The sequence below is a fragment of the Homo sapiens genome, chromosome 8 (assembly GCF_000001405.40).
Source record: "Homo sapiens chromosome 8, GRCh38.p14 Primary Assembly".
Taxonomy (NCBI): Eukaryota; Metazoa; Chordata; class Mammalia; order Primates; family Hominidae; genus Homo; species Homo sapiens.
The window spans coordinates 68506224-68532743 of record NC_000008.11 but is presented as its reverse complement, the minus strand read 5'-3'; the positions used below and the strand labels follow the sequence as shown (position 1 = coordinate 68532743).

Sequence of the window (26520 nt, the reverse complement as noted above, 5' to 3'; positions counted from 1 at the left end):
TATTGTTGCCATGTGGAAATTAAAGTCTACTCGATGAATTTTCTGATTTTTAAAGAAGAGCTAGAAGGTCCAGATTATTAGTCCCTGATTTACAAAGCAAATGCATGTTAAGGAAAACACATTCGATGGAATAAATATTTTATAATATTACATTAAGATGTTTTAAAATACTCAACTTTAATTTCTTTTGCATATGTGTATATAGTTGTCTGAACACCATTTGTTAAAAAGACTATTCTCTCCCTCATTGAATTGTCTTGCTTTTATTTATAGTGCTTTTGAGTCTATCTCTTTGTATAGTTTTATTAGTGACTGATCTTCCTGTTACAATATGTATATGTATATTGTACCACATTCAGCAGACTGTTTTATTAATATCAACATTTACCACTTGGAGTAAAGTATAGATACCTTACTTCCATTTTGGACCCTTTAGTTTCCCTACTTTTAAATATTATTGAGTATCAGATGGTGCTATAACTTTTGTTTCAATAGTTAAATAGCATTTCTAAAGCTCGTGAGGATAGTCCATTGTATATACCCATATTTCTGTTCTTTCTGTTTTTCTGTGTTCCTTCCTGATGTTTTGAAGTAGATTCTTTCTTGCCGCTGAGGTAGATTCATTGTCGCCACTCAGTTCTCCTAGCATCTTTAGTGGAGAAAGGGAGTCTCAAGTCTGGCAGGGAAGGAAAGCATGTCCCCTAACCATGTATTGCCAGTGAGAATCGTCAATTCCCCTGGCCTATGTCTCTGGCTTCTCTTGGTGTTGTTGGTGTAGCTACTGTTCAATCAGGGGAAGAAATAACCTACATGGGCCACCTTCTCTTGCTACTTTGGGAGTGAAGAAATGCTCCTTATTCTGTTAAGTGTGGAATTGCAAGGAGCCCTGCTGCTAAGCTGTTCCTCCAGCCCTCAGGTTCCTAACCATTCCACCTTCCTATGTACCCTTTTCACAGTTCTCTTTTGGTTCCTCTTGCTTTATTTCAGGGTTTATAGGGGTATGTATGAGGGACAGCAGAAAGTAATTAGTCCATGCCATCTTGTCCAAGCAGAAGTGACACGACTTGTTAATTAGAAAGGGCAACTGATACCTTTACACTGGAAAAATCTGGTGGACATCACCTTAACCAAGTGATCAAACTTAGCATCACCAATAATACTGGACAAATTGACATTATGTACTTCCTAATATGATATAATAAGAAAGTACATCCCATCAACTATGTAGAATTTTTTTCCAAAAATATCTAATCTGAATTTAATCAGAGAACAATCAGACAAACGCAGATTGGGAGAAATTTTTGAAGATAACTGGCCCATAGTCTTCAAGAATGTAAATGTCATAAAAAAGAAACAAAAGGCAGAGGACTGTTGTAGATTATAGAAGACTAAAAAGATTTGACAACTAGATTCCACACATGATCTTTTATTAGATGCTAGATAAAAAATAAATAAACAAGTATACAAAAATCCATAAAGGACTTTACTGGAAAAATTGAAGACATTTGAAAGTGGACTCTACATTAGATAACTTTATGGTGGGATTGGTTTGATATGATGATTATATTATGGGTACATAAGAAAATATCTTTATTCCTAAGAAATACACGCTGAAGAATAACAGAATTAACATTTTATAAAATCTGTAATTTATTTTCAGATGGTTCAGCAAAAAATAGAATATGATAATATGATAGATATATAGATAATAGGTCATAGATAAAGATGGTAAAATGTTCATTGGTGAATACAGGTGGAGGGTATGTGGATCTTGATATTACTACTTTTAAATATTCTGTGGTTTGAAACTTTTAAAAGTAAAAAGGTGAGGGAAAAAATAAGAACAAATATATGAAAACATACACATGTTGGCAATATTTATTTTAATTTTATCTTCTATCCCAACTTAGGTTCCCAACAGAAATAGGATTGTTGCTAAGATGTCGTAAAAATGCACCCCTTTTTAAGTAATTTTTTAATTTGACTAACCCTCGATATCATTCCAAATACTTAAAGAAAATCATGTTTACTCTTTAATAGTGGAAATAAAACATAAATATTCACTTGAAAATGGAAGGAAGAAGTTTATTTAGCTTCAGTCTCTTGCCATGGCATCTGTCCTCTGCATCATTGCATTACGTGTCTTCTAAACTGAGAAACAATGTAACAATGTTAAAGTCTTCCTTGACCAACTTTATTCATTGAGAAGTAAACAAAACCAATCAAAACAAAATTTTAATTTGGATTTCTTAGCTGATAGATCTAACATGTTAAGCTGAATTAACACCTAAATTATTTTATCTAAATTAAATTCATTTAAAATAACAATATTCATGTATTATTTTAGCCCCATTCGCTTTTGATTTTGACTACTAGAAGGGATATAGATACTGCTATGAATGACAATTGAACATAGTTTATTTACAAGATGAATAATTTGGGGCAAGTTACTTCTTTCTTTTCCTCAGTTTTGTTATCCATAATGCAGCTTACTGTAGTACTTCCAATATATTTAATAATCCAGTGGTTGGACTATTAAAAAGGGTTAATAAATGTAGAATAGTGCCTGGCAAATAGCTCTACTTAGGTCTGTTTAATAAATCAATTAAATTTTCCTTCATAACTTTAAATTTTATATTGTAAATTTAACAAAATGTAATAGAATATTATACTTTATAATATTCTATGCTTACCAAATATATTTTATGTTTTCATGTAAAAAGACAGTTACGGCTTTAAGGCGATTTTCCCCCTTAGGAGTTAAATAATAATTCACAAAGTATAACTGTTTGAAGCAGATGTTATATGTACATTCTGACTACTGCTTGTGCTTACTATGTACCTAAATATATATATAGGATGGTTAGATATTAAATATTTTATGCAAAATTAATATATACTGTATCTTGAAATGTTATTTTATATGAATAAGCATAAATCAAATGTCAGTTTATAAAACATAATATAATTATTTCTAAAAGGCAAACATATTATCAAAACATGCCTACTTACAGAAAAAGAGTGTTATCTAACCAATTGTAAGCTTAGAATTTTATTCCAGGTCCATAACTGTTTTTCTAGAATCCTTGAGGCTGGATGTGTTCTGTTGCATAAACTCTATATTATATAATACATTCCAGAGGGTCTGTGGCCTCACCCTGTTATCAAATACTTCAGTATTTCTACATCATTATGTATCAGCATTCCCACTGAGTGGGATAAATAAAGAATCTGCAGGGTTCAGATCAGGTTTTGCTATAATGAATTATGAAAACAACTTTCATTGTCAGAGCATTTTGAATTTCACAATTACAGATACGGATTGCGAGGAAAATATTTGAATAAATAACTGAGAGATGAAATCTCAAACACTGCTGTTTGGTCAAGTAAGATGGGGGCTGAGACTTGAGGTTGGAATTTCAGAAGGCAGAGGTCATTTGACTGACACTGGGTAACTTGGACAAGAGGTCGTCCTGTGACATTGACAAGGTTGCTTTCAATAGGTGGTGGGAATAACATTCTATTTGGAAAAGATTGCAAAATGAGGGGTCAGTGCACACAAGTAAACTACTTTGAGGAGCTTCTTTGTAAATTGAATGAAAGACAGAGAACAATTAATTGCTGGGGCCAGGGAGGCTTCACTTTTTAGAGAGAAGTTCCATCGTACTTTCATGCTGAGGGGAATGAGCTAGGAGAAAGGAATGGTGCAGGGAATGAAGAGAAGTGATGAGCTTACATGGGTGATTTAGAGTAAGGACCTAGCGCTGAGTGGAGGAGCTTGCCCTAGGCGGAGCATGAGTGACTCACCCATAGCCATAGGGAAGAGCAGAAAACCTGAGCACAGATAAGCCAGGTGCACAGAGAGTCTGCTGGAGGAAGCTTATGGAGGTTTTCTTTATGACTGCAGCTATTTTCTCTTTGAAATGGGAAACAGAGTCATTAGTTAAGAATAAGGATGATGGGGAAAAGTTTTGGAGATTGGGGGAGAGCAGGAAAAATGTGAAGTCATCATTGAGGAGAGTGAATATGTGAATGGCAGAGGCAGGTGCAGCTGCATTGCCGGGTAGCACCAGTGTGCCCCTGGAGTTTGGTGGTCGTGAATTCAGTGATACTGGCCAGTGTGGCCATGTGTCCTTCTCTAGCCTAGGTTGGTTCAGCCACAGAATAGGGAAACAATTAGATGTAAACATGGTAGAGTTTTTCCAGGAGAGTAAAACAGGAAAAGAGGAGCAGAAGACTTGAGGGCATATCCAAGGGACAAATTACCATGATGGGGCAGAGATAAACCTGACTAAGGAGAAAAATTAAGAACAAGGTGGGTGAGAAACAAGAAAACTTTGGCAGTCTCAGTGTTTTTGGGGTCCCAGTTAAAGCTGAGTGTCAGAGGCAATAAACTAGAAAGACGACAGGTGGTAGTCAGAAAGTGAGATGCCTGAAATTGACATCATGGATTTGCAGATAATGAGAATGAGAAGGTCTAGGATATGACAGAGGGAGTGATGGGGAGGTAGGGTGGAATTCAAGATACATGGCGAAGAGTAGGTAAAGAAAGTGAGAGGCCAGGTTTGGGGAAGGATCACCGATGATGTTGACGCTGACTTAACCAATGCAGCAAAGCTACTGGGGAGAGTTACAGGAGCCGGACATTTGAATGTTCAGAGAAAGGGGAATGGCTGGCAGTTAGCAAATTATTGCTAGAAGATGATGTGGGAAATTAACACACTGGGAAATTCAGAACAAGATGCAGAACTGGGGATTGTTTTAGGGAGGAGACAGCAAGATCTGGAAGCAGCAGACGATAAAGGATGACACCACCCTCTTCTCCAGCCCCACAGCCTGTGGATCCTACAACCATTAAGAAAAAATAGCTGCCTGCTGCAGGGATGCAGGAGTGTTCATACAGATGGTGTTGAGTGAGATCAGAACAAGAGGGGTTTTTCTAAGAGCACTTAGGGTTCCGAGGCCCCTCTTTCCCAGATTTGAACCTAAAGCTTAATAACAGGATTCTTAGAACAGCTTTCTGAAGAGAGACTGTAGAGCAAAGGATTTAAATGCACAGAATTTGAAGCAAGGCAGCCTAGCTCAGTGACCTAACGGCTATCAATCTTGGGATGGGGATGTAGCCACTCTGGGACTTAGTTTCCTCATTAATTTTTTATTTTTTATTTTTTTGAGACGGAGTCTTGCTCTGTCACCCAGCCTGGAGTGCAGTGGCACGATCTCAGCTCACTGCAAGCTCCACCTCCCGGGTTCACGCCATTCTCCTGCCTCAGCCTCCCGAGTAGCTGGGACTACAGGCGCCCACCACCACGCCCGGCTAATTTTTTGTATTTTTAGTAGAGACGGGGTTTCACCGTGTTAGCCAGGATGGTTTCGACCTCCTGACCTTGTGATCCGCCCGCCTCGGCCTCCCAGAGCGCTTACAGGCGTGAGCCACTGCGCCGGGCCTCTCATTTCTGAATAATAGTGTTTTCATAAGGATGAAATGGGTTACAATATGCAAAGCACATAGAGCAGCCTCTAAGTGGTAATTAATATCATTATGTGTTCAAAGAACACAAAGGGGGCATCCTGGACATGTGAACGCCTCCTCTTGAGCCATAATATCCCACATCAAGAGAAAGTGTACAAAAAGAGGCCTGATGAGAAAGACTAGCAGTTAATATTTCAATTTGGTGTTCATATACTCAAGGAATCCATTTTGCTTTGGTTTAGAAGAGTGATTTCTAAACCAGGATCAAATGGAAAGGAACAGTTTAAAGAGGTCACCCCACAGAACCTCCCCTGTGGGCCTGCCTGAGCAGGTGGAGCCTCCTGAGCCTTCATTCTGACCACTGGCCCTCCTCCTCCTGACTCCTGTCTCACTCGTGGGCCTGAGCTTGCTCCGTTTAGTTTCACGCTTTCTTTCTGAGCATAGGTTGGTAAACATTTAGTTTGATCTGATTCCATGCGTTCTTTTTGGTGAAAAATTGGATGATTTCTTGGACTATCTCCTAAGCTTGTTGAGTTCACCCTCACAGTCTTGTAGGCTGAACCTGTGTCCTTTTTTTTTTTTTTGACTCCAGTCATTAATTAAAGGGTGCCCTTTGCACTAAGGCCTTGGAAGTTGAAGAGGTCATGAAAAGTTTCACACTCAATTGTTGCATATAGATTTTTATGCGTAAGAGCTATTTTTAAGAATATATAAATATGATGTTTTAGAATCAGTTTAGCAGACACTTAAGTGCTTGTCATATACCTAGTACTGTGAACTGAGCAGTAACAAAATTTTTAAAAATCATTCTCCTCCACTTTTAAGCAATTCCTTTGAGTCTAGGATTTTTTGTCATGTCAGTCTTATCCAGTATCTAGCACATTACCTGGTATTAACATAAGCAAATGAATACTAAATAAATAAAAAGAAAACTTTCAACCTGTCCAGATGACTTCATCAATGATCTGAAATTAAATGCATGCTCTTTTGGCTTTAAAAAGAAATTTATCTTAAACAGGCATGGTGGCTCATACCTGTAATCCCAGCACTTTGGGGCCAAGATGGGTGGATTGCTTGAATCCAGGAATACAAGACCTGCCTGGGCAACATAGTGAAACCCCATCTCTACAAAAAATTTAAAAGAAATTAGCTGGGCATGGTGGGGCACACCTGTAGTCCCAGCTTCTCAGGAGGCTAAGGTGGGAGGCTCACTTGAACTGGGAGGGAGAGTCTGCAGTGAGCCAAGATAACACCACTGCACTCCAGTCTGTGTGACAGAGTGAGACTCTGTCTCAAAAAAAAAAAAAAAAAAAAGAAAGAAAGAAATTTGTCTCTTTCAGCTGCCATCTTTCCATGCTGCCACAATGGTGCACATGAATGTCTTGGTTGATATTCTCAGGAACATCCACAATGCTAAAAAGAGAGACAAACACCAGGTTCTTATCAAGCCATGCTCCAGAGTTATCATCCTGTTTCTCACTGTGATGAAGCATGGCTACACTGGTGAATCTAAAATCATTGATGATCACAGAGCTGGGAAGATTGTTGTGAACCTCACAGGCAGGCTAAACAAATATGGAGTGATCAGCCCCAGGTTTCATGTGCAACTCAAAGATCTAGAAAAATGGCAGCATAATCTGCTCCCATCTGACCAGTTCGGTTTCATTGTACTGACAACCTCAGCTGGCATCATGGACCACAAAGAAGTAAGACGAAGACACACAGGAGGGAAAATCCTGGGATTCTTTTTCTAGGGATGTAATACATACTTACAAATAAAATGCCTCAGAGGGAAACCAAAAAGAAATTTGTTTTGGATTGAACTTGTACTAAAAAAGAAATTAAGAAATTTATAAGTTATGAGGTATAATTTTTGTGTGTTTTAGATATTTCAAGCCTTCTGTTCTTTGATTTCTTGGGCAGATTACATATTAATCAATTACAATTATTTATGCTTAAAATTTCCATGTTAGATTATTTCTAAATTACTAAATTTGATTTATATTCCATCATACCTATCACTACTTGAATTTATGGCATATATTTGTATATTCACTTGTTTACTGCTTGTCTCTTTCTGCCAATAGAAAAAATTCTAAGAGGAAGGGGACCATTTCCAGGTTTTATTCACAGGTATGTTAGAAGCAATTATGAGCTTTAATGGAAAGAAAACTTCCTAATGGGAAGTGAATTTAGCTCTTATTTTAATATTTCATACACATTTCTAAATTATAAAATTTTCTCTTTATTTTGTGACCTATTTTCAATCTAACAGTGTTCACTTAAGAAAGAAAGCCAATTCACCAGATCTACAGTATTTATGGATATTATTTTTGTTTTAATAAGGTGATTCAGCTTTAGAGGAACTTCATTAGGCTTCAAGGCTTAATGAGCATATTTACAAATTCACATTACAATTTAATAAGTAATTTTAGAAAATCCATTACTCAGCTATTGCAAAGTTTAATTAAAATGGCTTAAAATAAGAGTATATAGGCTTATTAAATTCAATTTTTGTTTACATTTATATTATAAACATGGGATTATTTTTAATAACTCTAAATGTGCAATGAATGTATATGTTTTCCCACTAAATAGCTAGGCAAGTCATAGCAATTGATACCAATTGGTAGGATCTGACACTCACAGAAAGACTTCAATCATTTCCCAACACATTCACCTCTCTGTTCGGTGAATTCCTCTCACTTTTCTTACTCAAATGCTTTAATTTCTTTCTTAAGCACTCTTAATTCTGAACTGCTTTGAGAATCTAAGAAAGATGTGGCAGGACTCCATGTTAGTATCTCTTGTCTTAGTCTGCTAGTTTCCATTTATCACCCTCACAGTTTCTTTTCTAACCAGCACTTAATGCTTCAGGTGTCATTTGTATCAAACTATTTGTAACATACTTATTAACCTCTTCATACAATGTCATATTTGGGGGACCTAGGGAAAGAAGTTCACATACAGTACATCATTAAAAAAGGGGGTAAGCTTCTACGCATAAGACTCTCAAGGTTTATTATGCCATTTATTTAATTCCCTCTAATCTAATGGTGAAACTCTAGCCTATCATGTATCTATTATTCTGCATGAAAAGGAAAGCTGGCTATGTAACAAAGATGGAGTGTTGTAGTAGCCATTTGAGTAAGACTTAATGCACAATAGAGAAAAATTGAGATAGGAAAGGCTGCAAGAAATAAAGATAAGACTATAAATGGTTCTTCTCATCAATAAGCTTTATTTAGCAGATGCCTAGCGTCAGCCTGTGCCTTTGTCACTCATGTAACAGATGTCAAACGACAACAAAAATGTGCCAGCCCCAGTGGAGAGGGTGAGGTGAAAAATGGATGGAGTCATGCTTGAAAATTAAGTTTTCTCTTTCAGGAGTCTAGGATACGATTTTGTCAGTTGGTCATTAAAGTATAGTACAGGTTCATTTCTATTTAAGGGTAAAAGCTAATACTATAGTTACGGACTCTGGAGCCATTAAAAAATTTTCTCCAACCCTTTCTGCTTGATCCAAATCAAATCTAATGCGGTGTGAGTTGCTGGTATCAATTCAAAAATCCTATTTTGTATTAGAAGATGGAGAAAATATAGTTTCTAGCCCATGGTTTACTGCTGTTCCTGAAATTTAATTCAGATATGCATGTATTCTTTCTACTCTAATGGGGGCACCTGGGCAGAATTTCACCAGCTCTTTCTTGTCACAGTGTAATACCTCAATTTATAATTTAAAGACAGAGCAAAATAAAGCTGAAAAAAATTAAGACAAACATTTAAGAGACAGGTTCATGGACTGAGTTTTCTAGATAAGGGAGTCCGCTAGGATTAGAGAAGAGGTTCTCCCTTATTGAGTATTCAGGTGGGAATAAGAGCTCACTGAAGCTAGGAAGAAAATAGACTGACACTTGAGATAAATAGTTCTGATTATTATTATGACTAAATGAAAGTACAATGAAAGTTGACATTTCTCTATTTTACATTTAAGAACTAAAGATCTACCAATGAATAAAGATAAAAGTCTAGTAGGTTTTATAAGCCTGGTATTAAAAAAATTACCCTCATTGACAGATGAAATTGATCTGGCATTTCACAAAGAAGGTAAATGGATCTTTATAAATGGTTTTCCTCTCCTCACACAGGACACTTCAACTATTTAAATAATTTAAAAGTTATTTCTCATGGAAATAGAATCAATTTTCTGTAGGCCTGAAGCACATTAATGAGTATTCTGAATTTCCTTCCCTCCAGCCAAGTGATAAGTCACCGCAAAGAACCCCTGAAAGCTATTACATTGTAGAAAATACAATTTTCTCCTTGAGAAAGAACAGTTATTGGTTGCTGCTAAATTTAACATAGAAAATGCCAAGTTACTGTGGCTATGCTATGCACAGGAAAAACTCTTCTGTGACGGGCAGCTGGTAACACTCACAGAAAGCTTAAACTCCTGTCACATTTCCATTCATGAATATTTGTTTTTGCAATCTTGTCTAAGCCATGCCTCCCGTGATATTTTTCACCCCAGATACTTTGCAGAAATTTTCATTTTTGTTTTGAGTTTTACTCGTTGCAACTGGTATTACAAAAAAAAATTACTCTGAATATAGTTTTTCCAATAAATAAGATCTGGACATTTCAACATTAATTCACTATTACCAGCACATGGGCACGTAAAGTAAATCTCCTGCCACCATTTTGAGCATTAGGGGTCTAAGTAAAATCAAAGTATGGACTTTCACATTTACAAATAATAGCAGTTTCAAAAATTAAACAAAGAATATATATGTTAATAAATATATTCAATCATAGTTATCAACTCTAAACTTAAATGGTTCTAACTAAGGCTTCTCTTTCTTTATGGTCAATATTAACTTTGCCTCCTATGGTCTATTATACATTTAATAATTTTATTATCCCTGATGATTAACAATATCTTTCTGGTACATCAGAAGTCCCTCCTCTCCAATTCTTAACAGCCAGCCACTCTCTGTCCAATATTATAGTAGGTCTTGACTGGCAGCATATCTTGAAATTAATTCTCTATTTGGTTTTAGTAGCAAAGATATGGTGATCTAGATTTGAAGAAAACAAATCAACACCAAAACTCCAAAGCAGGTCTGAAACTCTCATTTTAAGAGACAGCAATTGATGTTTTTATCCTATGTATAGACTAACATAATTTTCTATAAAAAATTACTAAAACGGATTTCATAAAAACCATGAACTTGGGTTTATTTTCCCTTTACCTTTTAATGACTAGTAATATAGAATCTCAGCAGACAGCTCATCTCACCTTCCTGCAGGACTAGAGCCACTATCTTCACTTTCCCATTGGTCATTTTTGCTTCTTGGAATTGGAGGCTGTAGCATTTCAGCAGCTAGGGGATCAGCATCATTTTCTTCTCTACCAATCCATTCTCCAATCACACGGGGCCTCAGAAGAGAAGAATTAAATGTCACTGTTTCCTGAAGAGAAGAAAAGAATATGCTGTCTTAGATGGCTTTTTCTTATTAACAGGACAACAGGGAAATAAAGTTGCCTAGATATTTGACTGTCAAATGCTTTTTGTCTTTCTGAATTGATACAAAACTTCAGTTTCCTCCAACTCTACTAGATAGCTTGTTCTAGTGATTTATGCTAATTCCTAAGGTCACTGTGATAAAGGACCCAGGAGTGAAATCTTTGCTTTGAATTTGGAAGGCTGCAAGTGTGCTCTCAGGAAAGAGGTGTGGGATGAGCATTCAAGGCAGAAGGAAGAGTGTGTTGTAAACAGGGCGGCCCACATAGGCAGAGAGCTTGGTGTCACTGCTGGGAAATAGTAAATAATTGCCCAGGTAGAAACTGGGTTGGGGTCAGGGGATAGGGACAAGAAGAGATAGGGCTCGAAGGGTGTATTGCCTCCAACTGCAAAGCATTTTAGACATTTCAGGATCCAGTAGAAATTCGAAACACAGCACTATCAATGGCAGATATGTTATGCTAATTCAACAAATGTTAGTAATCTGTTTTCATGGACTCGGATATGATACAGCTATTAAAATACTATTGTAGTAGAATACTGAATACATGTATTGCTAGGGATTTTTTGTTATGTGAAAAAAGGGCAAGTTAAAAAGCAATACTTATAATCTAGATTTTGTTTAAAAAATTCATATCAGTGTATATCCGTTTCTTGTTCACTAATTCATTCATTTCTTCACTCTCTAATATTTATTAAGACTTGCTACAGGCAAAGAACTGCTTGATATGCTGAGGAAAACAATGGTAAAATAAAATCAAAATTTAATAGTGCCTTTATCTGAATGAAGGAACTACAGGTAATTTTAGTTTCTTCTTTTTGCATTGCAACATCATTTCTATTTGCTACAGTAAATATGTAATGAGAAAAATATATTTTTAATGCCTCTTCAGCTGAAAAATATAAGCCTTGCTTAAATATGTTTAGTGATAAATTTTACTATTACAATAGTCTTGAACAATTCTTTAAAAATTCAGAAGGTGGGCTGGGCGCGGTGGCTCACGCCTGTAAGCCCAGCACTTTGGGAGGCCGAGGTGTGCAGATAACGAGGTCAGGAGATCAAGACCATCCTGGCTAACACGGTGAAACCCCGTCTCTACTAAAAATACAAAAAAAAAAAAAAAAAAATTAGCCGGGCGTGATGGCGGGCACCTGTAGTCCCAGCTACTCGGGAGGCTGAGGCAGGAGAATGGTGTGAACCCGGGAGGTGGAGCTTGCAGTGAGCCGAGATCGTGCCACTGCACTCCAGCCTGGGCAACAGAGCAAGACTGCGTCTTAAAAATAAAAATAAAATTTAAAAAAAACAATAAAAATTCAGATGGTGTTCTGAGTCTTCAGACTTCACAACATATTCTACATTTCAGTACAGAATATAATACAATATAATCTTACAGTACATACAATGTAATATATAATCAACATACAAATATAATACCAAAAGCAACACATGAAATATGATTTAGAACATATTTGATGAGCATTTCTTCAAGTAATAGCAAGTGACAGAAAGGAATTAGATATCTTAATATTGATCCAGCCTACATGAAAATACAGCAGGTACATTTTAGGACCAGTGTTTGTAAAACTTAGCAAGTAATCTGAACTCTTTCTATACTTATATCCCTCACATCAGAAAATTAAAGCACTACAATGGATTTCAGCTGTAAAATAATGCAATCAAATGAATGTTTTCAAACAATCAGAAGGGCATATGCATCTGCCACAATTTAATATTATTTGAAGAACAGAAACTAAAGTTAACGATACTGTTCAATTTTAAATCTGTATTTACTTTTTAAAGCAGATGACTGTGAAGACATGTTTTTGAATTTAAAAATCTATAAACATTTACAACTTCAGAATACTTTTCCATCTGTGAGACTTTACAATGTTACTTATTCCTTGAATTTCATTTTCTCCAACTATAAAATGGGGATGATAAGAATTATAAAGCCTATTGTATCAAATGAATTAGTAAATAACATAGTTAAACCATAAAATTCTTCCCCCCCACCCCCAGGTGAAAGACCATTTTTTAAAAAATTTGTTTTGCTTTAATTTTCAAACCCTCAGGACTAATATTTTCATAAAAGACCATGAAAATCAATAATCATAAACAACAATCTTTACAAAACAAAGTCATATAAAATATAAGCCAAGGGTTATATTGAATGAAATGTTTTCATTCAACAAATATCAGATTGCTATAAAATTCACTAAATTATCTCAATTCCTATACTTCTTTTATTGGAGAATAACAAAAACAATTCAACTGGCTCTGCTTTGCAGGCTTTTAAAATAGAATTGCTGTGTGTCACTGTGTCTTAAATGTGTGTGGATGTATTCTTAGTGAGCTATGAGGTCTCTGAGAAAAAATGATTATATATACACACATATGTATACGAAATTTGTATTTTAATTTTCATAACTTTCCAAAAGTAATACAGGTGTGTTCTGCATCTCCTGACTGACCAGAAAGTAGAGTTGCATGATGTAAGTGCCCAAGTTTGTGTTTATGTTTACAATTAAGTTGACAATGAGCACTATTACTTTAAATGTCAAGGTCTCATACATAAAGACCAAAGGAAGCTAAAGAATCTGATACTTCGAACAGTCACTTCTATTAAATGGGAAAGCTAAGCCTTAGATCTGTGTCTTTTAATTCTTACTTTAATACGCTTGATCGTAGTTTTACAATAAATTTTTCATTTTGAAGCACATTTTATCATCGTACAATGTATGAGAAAAGAATAAAACTAGACCCTTGATTGCCACTGTTCTTTCAATCACAATTTATGTAACATATTCCCCTGTATCTACCACTTTTTTTTGCATACTTGCCTTTTTTTTTTTTTTTTTGAGTCTTGCTCTGTCGCCAGGCTGGAGTGTAGTGGCACGATCTTGGCTCACTGCAACCTCCACCTCCTGGGTTCAAGCAATTCCCCTGCCTCAGCCTCCCAAATAGCTGGGTACAGGTGTACACCACCATGCCCAGCTAATTTTTGTAGTTTTAGTAGAGATGGGCTTTCACCATGTTGGCCAGGATGGTCTCAATCTCTTGACCTTGTGATCCACGCACCTTGGCCTCCCAAAGTGCTGGGATTACATTCATGAACCACCGCACCCGGCCACAAATTTTAAGGCTAAATCAAAAGCCAACAACAGAATGTTCACAAAATCTACCTTGGACTATGAGTTTGGAGAGTTGGCGTCTTTTTCTGGCTTGATATACTAGAGGCTGTCTGTTATTTAGGGCCCTAAAGGGAGGGTCAGAGGAAGCACATTAAATGTATTAAGTCTATGATCCATATTCTAAAGGTTTTTCATTGCTATTCTGTTTATTTTGAGGGAAGAGATACAAACATGTAAAGTACAAAATAAGATTATATACAAATTTATATATATATAAATGGCCCCACATGTGTGTTTTGTAATTAAATATACTAGTTCAGAGAAGAGGAAGCTGAAGCTCAACATGGACTGGATTCAGCAGTGGTAGTCTCACCAAGGGACATGACCAAACTTCAGTATAAATTGTGCCTTCTTCCTTTTTTAAAATTTGGATTCAGGAGGTGCACATGTAGGGTTGTTTCATGGGTATATTGGGTGATGCTGAGGTTTGGGATACAGATAAACCATAAAATTCTGTGTATAAGCCAGATACAATTATTTAAGAGTGTGAACTGTATTCAAGTCATTTCTATATATTTGATGTATCACTGTGGAATGGACAAATTGAGTAAGAATAGATACATGGTAGTCAATAAGGGCAGAGAAACAGAACAGGGAATTGACAGTGCAGATTTTCATCCTATAAAGTTTCATTTTATAGATGTTATATTTAAAAGGTTGAATAATTAATTCAATGTTATTAATCTCATTTACATATGGGGCAGAATTGGGCTTGGAGATTTGTCTAGCTATAGGCTCAAAGTAGATGGTACTTGAAACAAAGAAATGAACAAAGAAATTGACCACTGGAACAACAGAAATAGATGAGTTTAGGCACTGTAAGCCAAAGAGTGAAAAAGGTTTTAGAGTTGGGTATAATCAGAAAGTGGAGAGCAGTAGAGAATCAGAACTAACTCCCTGGTTGCTTACTAGGAAATCAAATGCAATGGTAGATGTATTGCTATTGAAAAGTAGAGCACAGAGAGAGAATAAACAGTGTGATATTCAGGATGTTTAACTCCACCTGGTGTAGAAATTTAGTGAGAAATAGCTGACAAGCAAAGCAATACTAAGAGCTGCAAACAGAGTCAGAGGAGTTAGGAAGTGAATATTTTACAGGTGAAAAATGGGGCTCTACTATATTTTTCTAAATTCACAAAGCTCTTTATATTCCTCCCATTCTAGTGTTGATGAAAAAATGGAAGCAAAGAGCACTTTCTCCTTTTAAAAATGTATATATTTCTGAAAAATTTTGAATATAGCCTTTTTACACATAGTAGATCAAAGTAGCAGAGTTTTGGTTATATTATTTATATTTGATTAAGCTAAGTAAACATCCTTCCATAGATCTTTATGAAAGGGTTTTAGTGAAGACAGCAGTTCTAAACACTTCATATAACATAACACAGCAATCCATGGCAAAAGTAATTTAAAAATGTAAACGAATTAAAAATTATTTTGAAAATATTTTAAATACATGGGTAAAAAAACATTTAAAATTTCAGAGATAAACTTTTAAAATCCTAATTATTCTTTAGTAATGTAAAAATGCATGTTCCTTTGCCCTTTCAAGTATAGAGGTCCCTAGGTTTTGACGTTCTTAAGCAAGTCAGCGTAACTTTAATAAGAAAAGCAGGCAGGGTGTGGTGGCTCACACCTGTAATCCCAGCACTTTGGAAGGCCAAAGTGGGCAGATGACAAGGTCAGGAGTTCGAGACCAGCCTGACCAACATTGTGAAACCCCATCTCTACTAAAAATAAAAAAAATTAGCTGGGCGTGGTGGCACACGCCTATAATCTCAGCTACTCGGGAGGCAGATGCAGGAGAATCACTTGAATCTGGGAGGAGGAGGTTGCAATGAGCCAAGATCATGCCACTGCACTCCAGCCTGGGTGACAAAGAGACTCCATCTCAAATAAATAAAAAATAAATAAATAAATAAATAAATAAATAGCATTCCCAGTCAAAAATTCTCTCAAAGCTTACCAATTTCTGCAGTATGGCTTATCAGCAAGAAGCTCACCTATCCAGGAAGTAGTTACCTTGTCCTAGGCTCTCTCTCCAAGAAGTCTGCTTTCAGTGGTTATTCCAAGAGTTCAACTACTATGACCACTGGTTCTCAGCACAGCACTTGATTATACTCCAAGTTATGTGACTCTATTTCCTCTTGTTAATAAAACTGGATGTTTATGGAAGGCTGAGATCATATCTTAAACTCCTTTGCTCCCCTCATAATAAATAGCATAATTCTGATTTCATGAAAATAAACACGAAAAGATGTGTTGAACGAATTTTTAAAATCCTCAAGAATGAAAAACAGTGCATATGCAGTGAATTACGAAGTATCTCTACGTCTAACCAAAATCATGTAAATGATTCCCAGACAACACTGATTAATGTGCTTTTTAAGCCATATAAGAAGAATGTCTACAAGATGGTCATTTTTTTAAATGAAATATTTCTTATGAACTCTTAAGGTTTGGATAAATTATTTTGATCCTGCTATTTCAAAAAAGGAAGTTTTTGGAACACAATTCTGTTACACAAACACATTAGATGTTTGGAATAGATAATAAACATCTATGCACATTGATCTATACACATCAATATACACACTGAATTCAAGTTAGGGATTAAAGATGGTAATGTAAGCGGACTGTTAGCTCTTTTCCCACTAGCTCTTATTCTTTGTAATAATTAGTGTGAACTGATTCATACATAGTACAATTTGTGTGTACTGGCTGAAGGCCAGTACATCACATCAGCTGTTGAAAAGAGTATTCAAAGAATTTTTAATCTTTAATGATATTTACTTAACAGAATACATTCTTCCCAAAAACTTTATATTACATTCAGTGAAAAACCTGGAACCATCTGCATCTTACTAGTCAATACATTAAAACTGTAATATGAATAATGTAAAAGGAGAAAATTGCTTTTATTTTACTCAGAACATATTAATGAGATGATTGTGGCTCTCGAGTTTTGTTACTAAGTTTCAACTTTGTTTGCATATACTTTTCACAATATCAATTATAAATGGAGTGCAAGGACATAAGATCATTTGGGTTTACACTGCTTTAAGATGGTTAACGTTGGAAAGTTTATGAAACACAGGCCAATCTTGCTGATTTGTATCTACCCACACTTAAGTGGTGAAGATGAGAAATTAACTTCTATAAAAAAAAAAAGAAAAAAAAGAGAAATTATCTTCTATATCTCATAGCATGTAATTTACATAGAGCAGCTGGAGAAAGAAGGAAAAAAGGGAGGGCTGTAGGCATTACAGGAAAAAGACAAAAAAAAAAACTAAATAAGTGAGGTCAGATCTCAGAACTCAGGTTCTATTCCTACATTGTTTAGAAAGGCTTCCCAAATAATTAAACTACTTTTTGAAAATCGTATGACTGACAAAAATTGTATATATTTAAGGTGTACAAAGTGATTTTTTAAATGTACATATATAGCATGAAATGATTACAATAATCTAGCTAATTAAAATAAACTACTTTTTATCATGTGCACTTAGTATATTGAACACGTATACACTATTCAATTGTTTCAATGCCAGCTTTCTCATTCTGACTCATATCTGTTCCATTCCCCCCTGTTCATTTTGTTTGCTGATTCCCATAATCTCTTCCTTAAAATTATCTCCTACTATAAAATTGCACTCCCCTCCTTGATGAACTTCTATTTTCTTATATTTCTCTTATTGTGTTTCTGCCTGATCCACAAATACCCCAACTCCAACTATTTGGGTAACTGTTACACTGTTGAATGAAAATAAGACCAATTATAGAAAAAATTTTATGGACTACAAAAGCCCAGTCACAAAAGCCAGGTAGCCATGTCCTATAGGCTAGAAAAGCAAATTATACGCTATCTTAATAAATAATTTTAATAATTTTTGCACTGCTATTTCTCCTCATATTATGGGCTGGATATTCTGAAAACACTCACTCTTCAAAATATTTAATACTTCTAGCTGAAATGGAACAAGACATCATTTGAATGCAAAGCTTAGGAGAAAATAACCTGTGGGAAAAGAAGAGAAACCATCAGAAGGGAAATCCAAGTCCAGACTAAAAATGAGAGGGAGCTGATGCAAGCAGCTGCCCTGTACACGTTGACAGATCCCTGGTTGCCTTGCATGATAATACCATTAGTGGGTGGTAGAATGATAGACTTAATGGCCCTGATTCTTCACCTTCCTGCATCTGAGACAGCCAGGTGGGAGGGTATCCTTAGAGAAACCTCAACCAGCCTGAGCACTGAGGTGGAGACACAGAGGTTCACAACATTTGCAGCAGGGAGGAGCCTGTCCCCTCCTCATCCTGTGTGGAAGCTGGGATCTGAACTGTGAGGTGGGAAGCACTCTAGCAGGGACTCTGGCCTAGCGAGAGTCCCTGTTTCCACCTTTTACTCCTTTTTCACCCAATAAAACCATGTCTTACTCACCATTCAAATTGTCTGCGAGCCTGAATTTTCGTGGCTGTGGGACAAAGAACCTCATCTTTAACTGAACTAAGGAAAAGTCCTGCAACATTTTTGATGCCCAACATGGGGCTTGAGAAATGGTGAGTAAAATGGGGATTCAAAATCTCTTCCTGTTGCTTCTAAGCCTTTTCATCCTCAGACTTCTGAGGATAGCGGAAACCATACCCCCACCCCTCATCACTCCCGGGCTTTTTCATGGCCTTTTCCTTCCTTTTCTGGGACAGACCGGCAAGCAGCAGCTCCCTGCCACTCCCTGCTCCCTGCTAGGGCTGGGATCACATGGCCCAAAGGTCCCACACAGCCAACTGGCTGGTTCCCAGCCATGTGCTGCCACTGCGTTCCCCTTCCCTGGACAAGGGGTTCAGCTTCATTGGACAGTAATTAAGCATTTCTCCTGGTGGAGGAACCACTTGCATAAGAATAAAAGGTTCTTCACCAGGCATATTTAAGCTGTTTTTTTCTTCTTCTCTACCCCGTCAGCAGTTAACTTTTATTTTTTATTCCTTTTAGAAGACGTTTTTACTAGGCCAGGCCCCACAAGTATCACTGTTTATATTCTCTGCAAAGTTTTGATTGTGAAATCAAGCCTCTGTCTTGTTTTACATCCTGAGGGCATGGCTTGTAACTCCGGTGGCAAGGCTTTGTTTAGCAACCCTACCTTAGAGAATAAGTTCCTTTCTGGTTTGACATCTGCAGGTACCCCTAGCCCTGTCTTTTCAAGGATCCCACCCAGCAACTAGGTTTTCTTCTTCCTGTCTGTGTCTGTGCTGTGTATGATGTCTGTAATAAGAGCTCCTAATTAATTTGGCCTAAAGAAAGACAAGTGCTTGGATCAAGTATTTTTTCAAGGGAAGCTAAAAGCTGTGGTACCTTTCAGTTCATGTGACTTTAATCTTTCAGAAATAAAAACAGCCTTAAAGGTTATTGGTAAAATGCAGGGATCATTAAAATGTAACGTAGGTGAACTAAAATATGCAGGTCAGATGAAAGGTTTGCTAAGTGTTTTGAGGTTACAAACTGCTTTTTTGGTTTTGAAACTATTTGATGTGCCGGCTTCACAATTGGTAAGGCCTGGGGACATATGGAACTAATCACGCCCTTAATTATGCTGGAGTCAAACCTTGGCTGCACTTAGCACACAGTTAAAGCAACTTACCAAGTTTTACCTTGAAGTGAGAAATTGCTAGGAGTTACAATTATAACATGTAATTGAGACTACTGGAAATAGATTTACATGCAAGGTGTGTAAGAACAGTAAAATTTGTTGTTGGTGGTTTTTTTTTTTTTTGGTAAAAGGTTATAAGGAGGTATGGAAATGTAAATTTTTGCCTAGGGTTAAAGGACTGCTTTAAATTAGATAGGAAAAGCTAAAAGTTCAAACAAGTGGTGGAAGAATTCTGAAAATTAATCTTGCAGAAGAGGTTCTCTGTGTGAACATATTGACTAAATATGTTATATTTAGTTATAAAAGGTTATAAAAGGTTTTTACTTATTTAAAATTTCTGATTCATCATTTTGGCAAAATAAATAATTTATGATAATGTGGAATTCTATTTCATAATATCAGGTGTTTTAAATCTCGAACATATTTGACAGCCTTCCCCAAATCAAACTTCATTTTCAAAATTGTTTTCCCTGACACCTGGCTTTTTGAATGGTTCAAAGGGCCCCTGAAACATCCAGAAAGAAAGGTAAACAGGATTATTTAACATGTTTAGGTACACGGGATTGCCAAAATGATGTTCAATTCTTCTTTAGGTTATATTTTTGTGAATAACGCTAATGTATGTTCCAAAATTGTATGGGATTTCTAAAATTCTATTGTCTAAGTATATGCTATCAATCATAATTAACGTTGTTATGTTAAGTTATGGTAAACCACAAAGATAACCAAACTTCTTTGTCAGTTGTGTTTCTAACTGTAACTATCCTGGACATTTTGCTATTCACAGACAATTATTGTCTTGTTTTAATCCTTTTCAAAAGATGGTTGAGAATAAGCCATAGAAATTTAACAGGTGCTCCCAAATACAGGCTTCTGATAACTTTGAAGATTGTGACATTTGAATAAAGAAAAAAAACACTTCATAAAGAGCTGAAGTGTTCCCAAATATCAAGCAAAACCAGAGTTAACTAAATGGACTAAAATCAGAAAGCTGAAGCAACCTTTTTGACTTTTGCTTGGAATATTGCTGATCCATATTTTGTTTTTCAGAGTCAAGGAAGCTTATTTTGAACTATTTACAGCCTTTAATAATTGAGTAAGTTATACTCTTACAAACAAAATTTGGAGCATGTTTGTTTCTCTCTGCCTGGTTCTTCTAGAATTTGGAAACTATCCATGAGTATTCTTAACTTATGGCATTGTTAAATTTAGTGAACCCCAAGTTTCTCTTCAAAGAATCAGCATGTCAGTATGTTCAGCCCTCTTATTTTCTGTTCTCCATTTTAAAATTTAACTTCCTGGTTCTCTTCGCCCCTTGCCTCTAGTTTCAGTAAAAAAACTTTCCTGCCAGTTCTAATTAGTAATTCACATATGTTCCCCTGGTCATCTGCTTTGACCTGAGTCACCGCTGGTCACCTGCTCCATCCTGACTCATCCTGAGTCACCTGTTCTGTAACTGTCCTTCCCGCCAAACTACTCACTGCCCCCACTCCAACTAGTACCCCTGCTCTCTTTAAAATAGCCAGTGGAAATTAGCTTAGACTGTGCAGCCCAACCCTAGTCAATAGGGGAATGACACAGCAGTAGGGGCTACTTGCATCAGGAATAAAAACCCCTTCCCCTCCCTTGTTCAGGTGTGCTCTCACCATTGCTCCATCCACGAGGCGCACCATTCTATAGAAGTAAAAATTGCCTTGCTGAGAAAATTAAATTTATGTTTGAGTGCTATTTCTTTGGCAGCACCAAAAAATTTATTTATAACAGCAATATAGTTGTTTGCATCAGTGCCATAAGAATCCATTTTTCTTTTGCAACAGGACACAATTGGAGAAAGTGGTTATTTTACCAAGGCTTTGACTGGAAGAGTATGCTTCCCTTTAAGGAGTCAATCTCAACTTGCAGAGCCAATATAAGCCCACTGGGGAGACTGGCCTCATACCCTCATCTATGCAGTCCCTGTACAGGGTTCCTGACATATGGTCAGTGAAGAATGTCACTTTCTAACAGGCCGAGGAGATCCAAGTTTATCTTCAGACCTTAAGAGAAGAGGATCACACAACTCACAGGTATTGGAGAATACCCAACCCATGGCTTGGATGGGTTTTTAAGGCCTTATCTGAGATTCCTTGGGGGGAACAGAGTTCCCTCAAAGCCAATCCAAAAGGCCAATGTAGAAATAATTATTCTTGCTGTACTTTATGCAAATAATCAGGCCAAGTATAAGATTAAAGTCTATTTTGCAAACAACTCGGTCCTATTATGATTTTTTTTCTCAACATAAATGAGTACAGGAAAGACAGAAATCATGTTTCAAAACTTATCATACGTTTGTCATTAAATTCTAAACTCACTAGTTGTTTTTCAGTTTTTGCCTACATTTTAGACTAACCCTGCTTGTTCCTGTGAACCAACCAGCAATCTCTGGTGGCAGCTCCAAAAGAACAAGAGGAATAGCTAATGTAAAAACCTGGGTTAATATTCTAGTTCTGAGCAATTATCCTGCAAATCCTGCCAGGTGATGGGATAAATAGGATGCCTATCCCTCAGAGGTTTCCTTTTGGGAAAGTAAGACCAAGGGAGCTAACCAAAGCCAAGCACCATCCACCCAAATCCTACAAGCATAACTATAGTTACCAGTTTTCTGGGTATATCATAAGACATCCTTTCCTCTCCCTTGCAGGAGGAGGACTCAGTTCTGCAATTTCACCTTGGTATTTGGCTTACGATAGGGAGTGCATGCAACTCCCCAAGGCACATTTTGTCCCAGACTCAATTCCAAGCTTTGGGTCAAAGCCCTAAGAAAAAAACTGGATTTACAGGATCCAGAGGCAGACAACGACAGATGTTAAAAGGCACAGCACAGGTAAGCATGGCTGATTCCTGCCAATTAAGCCAAGCCCAAGCTTCCTGTTCCATGGATAAAGGCCACGTTAGTATCCATGGCATAAATGAGTCCTAGGAAATTTGAGCCTACCGACAGCAGGGGAGATAGGATGTATGTGGATAAAAGCAGATGATTCCACCCCTTTGGCCCCCTGCTTCATGGGTGCAAGTCACTTTGACACCCATGACAGCATCTGCCATGGTCTCCAGGATTCAGGCATGCAAGGATGAAAGAGGGAAAGAGGATGCTCTTCCTTCTCTCCCTCACTTACCCCAGGTATCTGCTAGGAAGAGAAGGGAACCAGGGATGCCTGCTCCCCTCTTTCTAGATGGGTTAGCCATTCATCTTCAGTCTGTACCCCTTTCAAATGCATCCCAAATCCCTGGGACTCCTTTAAAAAATGCCTTCTTTTTTATTTCTCCTCCGTGGTTCTCTCTTCACAAACAGGTAATTGTGTCTCTGTACTATGAGAACACACACCTCAGTGCATCCTCCAAACTGGGAGAAGTTAATTTCCCAAGTCTTAAATTGGTTGGCTTAGGATTGAGCTCAGGGGAAGGGAACCCAGAAGCCCAACATGCCAGCAAAAGGATAAAGCTTTTTTTTGCCAGAAGGGCTTTTGGCTTCCCTCTCCCTGTGCACACTGCTAAAAGGCCTTGGGATTTTTGAGCTGTCCTTAGCTCCCCTTGTTTTGCTTTGATACATGCTTTCTAATAACCCAGTTTGTCTGCTCTTGCCTTCAGGCAATCAAACTCCAGGCAGTCATGCAGCCAGAGCCTTTGACAATGGCCCCTTCTGCTGGAACCCTTAGATTGGCCTCTGAGGGAGCTCTCACTGCCATTTTCCCCCAACACAGTGCCCCCTGTCAGCAGGAAGCAGTTAAGATTGGTCTTTATCCTTATCCTTATTTTAACAGCAGTTAGATGTACTTCTTTAGAGGGGGGAATGAGAAAGCCAGGTGGGAGAGGGGTCCCCAGAAAAACTCCAACTGACCTGAGCACTGGGGTGGAGACCCAGAAGTTCACAACATTTGCAGCAGGGAGGAACCTGGCCCCTCCTCTTCCTGTGTGGAAACTGCAATTCGAACTGAGAGGCAGGAAGCACTCTAGCAGGGACTCTGGCCTAGCGAGAGTCCCTGTTTCCCCCTTTTCTTCCTTTTTCACCCAATAAAACCCTGTCTTATTCACCATTCAAATTGTCTGCAAGTCTGAATTTTTGTCGCCATGGCTTCCAGATGCCTTGCATTTTTTGACTTGCTCTCTTGCATTTCTGTCATCCCCTTGAGAAAGACACACCTATGCTTGTCCGCCAGTCTCAAAAGGCAGATGCAAAACATTTGGAACAGACTGAAGTCACTCTGGACAAGCCCAGGTTATATCAACTGACAGCCAGCCAACCTCTGGACACATGAGAGGGCCCAAATGAGACCTGTTGAGCTCATCCAGCCAAGAACCAGCCTAAATCAGCCAAACCCCAGGAAAGTAGGAGAAATATTTATTGTATTCAGCCACTGAGTTTTGGAGTAAATTAGTACGTAGCTATGGCTAAATGAGGTAGAAATTTATCCTAGAAGTAGAGTGTTGACTAATAAAAGCCCAAAATATATGCCATTGATTTTGGGATATAGTTGCAAGGGAGGCTATAAAAATGTAAGAAAATTATTATGAAAGTTTGGAAAAATGGAGACCAGTGTTATGTGCCATTAAAGTGTTTGGTAAAATGGTCATCTATGATAACTTGGAAGATAGAAAGAGAACCTAATAAATTTTCAGAATTGGGCAAGAAGGAGAAGTATTGCAAATATTATCCACTTGATTTTAGCTACATATGATGAGTGTCTTCAATAAATAGATGAGCTTAGAAAATAACTGGCCAATTTGCAAGCAAAACTCAGAAAAAAACATTAAGAGTCTGGATGAGTTTCTTATCTCTGGTCTTTCCAGACAAATAGTTTAAGATTAATATATATCTTTGTGAAAATATTAAATTCACGGCCTTGCCAGAAAGATAAGGCCTTAGGGTAAAGAAGAGATCAAGGATGTAACTATAAGACCCTTTATTAAGACCTCTGAAAAAAATTGAAATGGTGCCTATTCAAGGTGTTTCACAACACCTAAACTACCAGTAATTAAATCTAGAAAAATAGGCTTGTCTTAAAAATAATTACGGATATAGTTTTTCACATAAGAAGAAGAGAGGAATCAAACTATATAAAGGAAATCCATAAATTATTTGGGACAATTTGATTGACAAAAGCATCAGCCTGGAGTTAAAGGGGCTGAAACTGTTTCAGATATAAAAAGCCCTCTGGGCCCCCAGTTTTCTACAGTAAGTAAGTAAGCTGAGGAAGTTGCTCAAAGGCATATTTTCCAATGCCCTCTTAGAAGTGGCCAAAGAGGTTAACAAAAAGGAAAGAAACTTCCAGAGGGTAAAGCCAAGAGCTGCGGAGAACAATAAATGGAGACTCTCAGGGAATCCAGTTCCCACTCTCTAGGTGCAATTAAGAAATACCCCCACACTCCTGGGTAAAAAGATCTGATGACATTTGCCCAGCAAGATTTCAGAATTTCTATGAGCCAGTGGTTTGTATGAACCTCCCCTTTTCTAATGGTAGTGTTTAATCTGATTATCTCATGTCAGTCTCATCATCTAATGGAAACAAACAAACAAAAAACTGTCTTTTTTAATATAGAGAAATTAAGAGAATTCAGAGACAAGTAATAAATCAATGGGTTCAGAAAGTTTACTGGATTTAAGATAAAATTACAAAAATCATTTTTATTCCTATTTGCCAATAAATGTAACTTTTAAAACAGATAGCAAATTTATAATAATAGCCAAAAATACAAGATGCCAAGGAATCAATTCAATAAAAATTTGCATGACTTTATTGTCAAATCTTGTAAAATTTAATTAAATGGAATTATGGCATATTCATAGGTAGGATGACTCAGAAAGGTGAAGATGTCAATTCTCCCATAACAGTCTAAAACACAATGTAACTCCAAACTCAGTAGAATAACAGAAATAAGCAATTAGGCCAATGGAAGAAAACAGAGGGCTCAGAAACAATGTAAGTGGCAGAAAAAGCATGCGTATCAATGGACAAATGACAAACTTCAAAAACGGCTCTAGAAAACTTATCATCCATGTGAGGAAAAATATATTCCAACTTCTCACCATATTAAAAAAGAGATGTGGTAGATTAAAGACCAAAATGTGAAAAACAAACTTCTAGAAGAAAAGAAAAAACAGTATTTTTATGACTCCAAGTAGGAAAGGATTTCTAAAACAAAGCGTCAATACCACAAGTTAATGTTAAACATTTATATTAATAGAAGGCACTATTTAAAAAGTGATGACAATCCTCCAAATTAGGAAATAATTGAGACATGTATACTAACAAAGGTTGGCATCCAGGATCTATAACAAACTCACACAAACTCAAAGAAAAGAAATGAGCAATAAAAATGGGCAAAAAAAAATCAGGCATTTAACTTTGTTGTTAAAAATTAAGAAACTGCATAGCCAGATGCAGTGGCATGTGACTGTAGTCCCAGCTACTCAGGAGGCTGGGGCAGCATGATTGCTTAAACTCAGGAATTCAAGTCCAACTTGGGTAATATAGTGAGACCTCATCTCATAAAATAATTATAAAATTACTAATTAAATCTATGAGAAGCAATTTTCATTAAAATGTTGGATAACAGATAATGTTGGCCAGGATCAGGAGTTAAAAAAATTATGAACTGTTGGTGGGAGTATACACTGATACAATCTCTTTAGAGAGAAATTTTGCAT

At 36.9% G+C, this 26520-nt stretch overlaps 1 protein-coding gene and 1 pseudogene across 13 annotated transcripts in view, besides 1 other annotated feature; one reads left to right on the top strand and one right to left on the bottom strand.

Moving 5' to 3' along the window:
- C8orf34 (chromosome 8 open reading frame 34) overlaps window positions 1-26520 on the bottom strand; it is a 488651-nt gene that overhangs the window by 286280 nt on the left and 175851 nt on the right. For 12 of the 13 annotated variants that reach the window (NR_146186.1, XM_047421328.1, NM_001349477.1 and 9 more), the window contains one exon: window positions 10773-10945. Coding sequence is in view for 11 of the 13 variants with exons in the window: in XM_047421328.1 (XP_047277284.1) it covers window positions 10773-10945 (173 nt within the window). In the remaining 2 variants the exon portion in view is untranslated. Of the gene's footprint in view, window positions 1-2064; window positions 2152-10772; window positions 10946-26520 lie in introns of all 13 variants that reach the window. The other variant, NR_146187.1, reaches the window with a different exon arrangement.
- Window positions 6805-7261, top strand: RPS15AP25 (ribosomal protein S15a pseudogene 25; annotated as a pseudogene).
- Window positions 20852-22051: an enhancer, noted in NCBI's record as "CDK7 strongly-dependent group 2 enhancer chr8:69422928-69424127 (GRCh37/hg19 assembly coordinates)". NCBI's record gives its function as "activates an origin of replication core promoter dependent on BRD2, BRD4, P300/CBP, MED14 and CDK7 cofactors, with strong dependence on CDK7, by STARR-seq in HCT116 cells {active_cell/tissue: HCT116}" and the evidence as "EXISTENCE:reporter gene assay evidence [ECO:0000049][PMID:35650434]".